We start from the raw sequence: 5,101 nt of genomic DNA on the forward strand, positions 1-5,101 counted from the left end.
TTTGAGACAGGGTCTGGCTCTGTCACCTAGGTTGGAGTGCAGTGGCACAATCACCGCTCACTGCAGCCTTGACCTCTGTGGTCAAGCAATCCTCCTGCCTCAGCCTCCCAAGGAGCTGGGATTACAGGTATGAGCCACCACGCCTGGCTAAATTGTTTTATATTTTGTAGAGATGGAGTCTTGTTATGTTGCCCAGGCTGGTGTTGAACTCCTGGGCTGAAGCAATCCCCTTGCCTCAGCCTCCCAACATGTTGGGATTATAGACATGAGCCACTGTGCCGGCCTAATTATGACTTTTTAAAGAACTCACTTAGGTTAAATCTACAATATAGGAAATCATTCACTAGACTATCCTAAATCGTAAATTACTTTAAAATGTGTTTGCAATAGATATTTAATTGTTTAGAAATATATTTGAAGAACATGCAAAAGAATGCCGGGCGTGGTGGTGGGTGCCTATAATCCCAGGGGCTACTCTGGAGGCTGAGGAAGGAGAATCGCTTGAATCCAGGAGGTGGAGGTTGTAGTGAGCTGAGATCGTGCCACTGTACTCCAGCCTGAGTGACAGAGTGAGTGAGACTCCATCTCAAAAAACAAACAAACAAAAAAACATGCAAAAGGAATTCAAGGAAGCACCTTTTCATTGGCATAAATAAACACTTTTTTTCCATCGATTAAAAAAAATTAACACAGACATTGTTTTTCAGCATGCAGAAAGAATGCTTAATTTATAGAGTGACTTCAATATTTTGATCAAGAGGCCTCAAAATATAAGATTCAAGTAATATGATGGGTGATTTTTCAGAGTTTACAGGAGTGAAGATGCCAGGAACGGACAGCCCATTCCACTCTCATTTTCCTGGCACCAGTGGATTTGTGGAAGACAGAGTGAGGAAACAAGCTCTGGTGAATGTTTTCCTTGAAACTGTAGGAAATGTGATTTGATGGCTTGTATGTTTCTGCAAGGCTGCTCTTCACACAGACTTTCTCTATCTGACTTTGTATTAGATTTCAAACATCCAAACAGACCCTTTCCTCTGGCCTGGGGTGGACAGGGCCAGTCTAAGATAAGTGGCTTTAGTAATTCAGAGTTCTCTGTAGGATCTCTTATTTTCTCTCTCTCATTTTTTTTTTCAGACAAAGTCTCACTCTGTCGCCCAGGCTGGAGTGCAGTGGCTCGATCTCGGCTCACTGCAACCTCTGCCTCCCGGGTTCAAGCAATTCTCCTGCCTCAGCCTCCCGAGTAGCTGGGATTAGAGGCCCATGCCACCATGCTGAGCTAATATTTGTATTTTTAGTAGAGATGGGGTTTCACCGTATTGGCCAAGCTGGTCTCGAACTCCTGAGCCCAAGTGATCCACCTGCCTTGGCCTCCCAAAGTGCTGGAATTACAGGTATGAGCCACTGCGCCCGGCCGGATCTCTTATTTTCTCTAGAGCACGGTTCATCTTCTCAGACCTTAAGTTTATTACCAGAGTATGAAACGCTGGAACAGTCATCCATACAAGAACCCTTTAGATACCCACAAGTCATTTGCAGGGAGTTCAGTTGATATACTATTTACTCTTCTTAATGAAAAACTGCTCACTTTTTTTTTGATAGAGAGACACACAATAACTTACACTTCTACAGTGCTTTTTACTTTAATCTTCTTTGTGTATTGCAATTTGTATAGCCTGTATTAAAAGGAACATTGATCTTGAAGTAAGAGTTTGAAACTTTCCCCTTATTGTCAAATGTCTGAGAAATGTAGTTGGCTGTTCAGAACATTCGTTTCTTTCTATATAAGGTACGCACAATAATAACTCTTAGAGGACTATCAGGAAGTTTAAAGGGGTTTTGTACATTGCAAAACACCATTCATGTGTAAGTGGTTATTGTGAACATGGCTGGTGCTTGATAAAATATTTGTTGAGCCTCTTATGCAAGCTACCAGTAAGCTCCTACATTCAGTATTTCATGCTGCAATTTGACAGGGGTATCATGTGTAGACACTTTATCTGCTGGTGTGAGCTACAACGCCTAGGCTCAGGTCCTGGCTCTGTCACTAACTACTTGGGTGAGCCAGGACAAGTTAAGTTCTGTAAATGTGAAATAATAGCAGATGGGTTATTAATGTTTGCAAAGCCAACTTGCTTGGCCTTCGCTTGTTTAATTTGTGAAACACGGATTTAAAAATTGAGCCCAGGCACGGTGGCTCATGCCTGTAATCCCAGCACTTTGGGAGACTGAGGCGGGCAGATCACCTGAGGTCAGGAGTTCCAGACCAGCCTGGGCAACCAACATAGTGAATCCTCATCTCTACCAAAAATACAAAAATTAGCTGGGCATGGTAGCATGCGCCTATATTCCCAGCTAGTCGGGAGGGTGAGGCAGGAGAATCGCTTGAACCTGGGAAGCAGAGGTTGTGGTGAGCTGAGAGCTGAGGTTGTGCCACTGCACTCCAGCCTGGGTGATAGAGCAAGTCTCCTCGAAATAAAAAAACAACAACAAAAAAAACCATTGAATTTACTGATGAAGTGATATGATGTGTGGTATTTACGTCAAAATCACCCAGGAGATGGAATATGGGAAGTAGAGGGGGTGTAGGTAAAATGAGACCGTCCATGAATTCACAGCTGCTGAAGCCAGCGATCAGCACCTGTCAGTGAGTTCCATTCTCTCTGCTTCTGTATATTTCTGAAATCCCCATGATAAAAAGTTAAAACAGACAAACAACTAAGAGATGCCTTCAAAAGAATTCAAGATGTAACAATCTGAAAATTAGCTTCCGAAATCCCACTTGGTGTATTGGTGGATTCTTTTATTTTGTTTTTTATTTTTTGTTTGTTTGTTTTTTTAAAAAAACAAAGGAAAAAGCCCCTGGGTTACTTGAGACAGTGGGGGAAATATCAGCTCAAAGATTCTCAAGTGTAGCCGTTATCTGATTCACCCCTACTCCCTCAGCAAAGTTGGCCGCCTCTAGTGGACAGGGTATTCCCCGGTCCCATCCTGGGCTCCAGTGACTCATACACTAAATCAGAGTTTCACATCTAACTATTATGGGCATTGGTTACTAAGGCTGGAAGCCAAAAGCCTGCTTGAAATGAAGATTCCTTTCTAAAGGTCAAAACTTTCCTCCAGAAAATGTTCCTCTCCATCAGGAGGCCTTGGCATGATGTCACCTTAGATATGAACTTACGAGGGGACGTTTCCTAAAAGTACACTTATCTCTTTTGTGATATTCATGTTAGGGATGAAATCAGCCTATGTCATACACTGACTTGTTCACTTAAAGAAAATGCCAGATAAGCAGGGAATTCATCACAGTCTTGATCATTTAGACTGTCTGGATGGTCGACCGCTGTTTCACTTTACCTCTGCTTCATAGGAATTTGGAATAGGACTAAGGCTGCAGCCCTTGCTCTCAACACACTGACCAGATGCTAACTGGTCAGGACCTTTTCTCCCACAGACACTAAAAGAAGATTCAGAAATCTTCCATGCTCAGGGTGCCAGGCAACCATTGCCCATCAATAGAAGTTGGCAAGTGAAATGAAACCTAATCACCTGCCCCTGAAGCAGTCTTGCTTTCAAAGTTAAGAAAACTGAGGCTTAGAGAGGTTAAGAGGTTAAACAACTTTTCTCTAAAGTCATACCTGTCATGGCTGGGTTGAGTTTGAGGCCACTTTCTCTCTGAGCTCAAGCAAGCTAGAAATTCTATGTCCCAAATATGGAAATCAAGCCTTTGACAGAAATGTAATAAGGATAAGGTATATTTGCCCACACTTTTCATATCTTGAAATAACTCTGTGGGGGTAACTGTGGTATCTCTGACACAGGAGGAGAATGAAGTGCAGCCTAAGAGCATAGAATTGGTGAATGGTGGAGTTGCAAACCAAAGCCATTTTTCTTTTCTTTTTTTAACTTAAAAAAATTTTAAATTATTTTTAATAGAGATGGATTCTTACTATGTTGCCCAGGCTGGTCTGGAGCTCCTGGGCTCAGGCAGTCTCCCCACTTTGGCTTCCCAAAGTGCTGAGATTACCAGTATGAACAACTGCACCCAGCCAAAGCCCTCTTTCTCTATGCTCAAAAGCTATCTCTTCTTTTCTTTCCTTTTCTTTTCTTTTTTTTAGACAGAGTCTTACTCTGTTGCCCAGGCTGGAGTGCAGTGGCACAATCTCGGCTCACCATGACCTCCACCTCCTGGGTTCAAGCAATTCTCCTGACTTAGCCTCCTGAGTAGCTGGGATTATAGGCACGCACCACCACGCTCAGCTAATTTCTTGTATTTTTAGTGGAGATGAGGTTTTGCTGTGTTGGCCAGGCTGGTCTTGAACCCCTGACCTCAAGTGATCCACCTGCCTCAGCCTCCCAAAGTGCTGGGATTGTAGGCGTGAGCCACCATGCCCGGCCAAGCTACATTCTTTCTGTTTCACTGGAGAAAATGAGTAGACCCTTGATCCAGCAGAGATCATTCTTTCTCTCTCTCTCTCTTTTTTTTTTTTTTTTAATTTTTGTGAATCATGGCCCTGCACCATGGCTCACATCTGTAATCCCAGCACTTTGGGAGGCCAAGGCGGGCAGATCACTTGAGCTCAGGAGTTCAGGACCAGCCATGGTGAAACCCCATCTCTATAAAAAATACAAAAATTAGCCAAGTGTGATGGTGCATGTCTGTAATCCCAGCTACTTGGGAGGCTGAGGCAGGAGGATGGTTTGAGCCTCAGATGCAGAGGTTGCAGTGAGCTGAGATCGTGCCACTGCATTCCAGCCTGGGTGACAGAGACCCTGTCTCAAAAAAAAAAATTGTGAATCATTGTTTGCTCAAGGCAGACACTGTTCTACGGGAGTGGCAGACACTGTTCTACGGGAGTGGGAGGTAAGCTAGATGCAGGAGGTGGAATCTCGTATCCTCTCTCTCATTTTCCCAGCATCCTTTGTAGATCTTCCCTTCTCTCCTCTCTGCTTTTGATCCTGGTTCCCTCCTCCTGGTCAGTAACGCTCTTCCCTTCCTTCTCAACACCTTAAAAGTCTCCTCAGGGCTCGTCTCAAATGCCACAGGCCTTCCCTGATCTTCTCAGTTATAATTAGTCCCTTTTCCCCTGGCATAATTTGC

General features: G+C 43.7%; 1 annotated feature.

Moving 5' to 3' along the window:
- Positions 2,857 to 3,086: an enhancer, noted in NCBI's record as "active region_3217". NCBI's record gives its function as "activates an Ori minimal core promoter by ATAC-STARR-seq in GM12878 lymphoblastoid cells {active_cell/tissue: GM12878}" and the evidence as "EXISTENCE:reporter gene assay evidence [ECO:0000049][PMID:35858748]".

This window comes from Homo sapiens, chromosome 10 (assembly GCF_000001405.40).
Source record: "Homo sapiens chromosome 10, GRCh38.p14 Primary Assembly".
In the NCBI taxonomy this organism is placed as follows: Eukaryota; Metazoa; Chordata; class Mammalia; order Primates; family Hominidae; genus Homo; species Homo sapiens.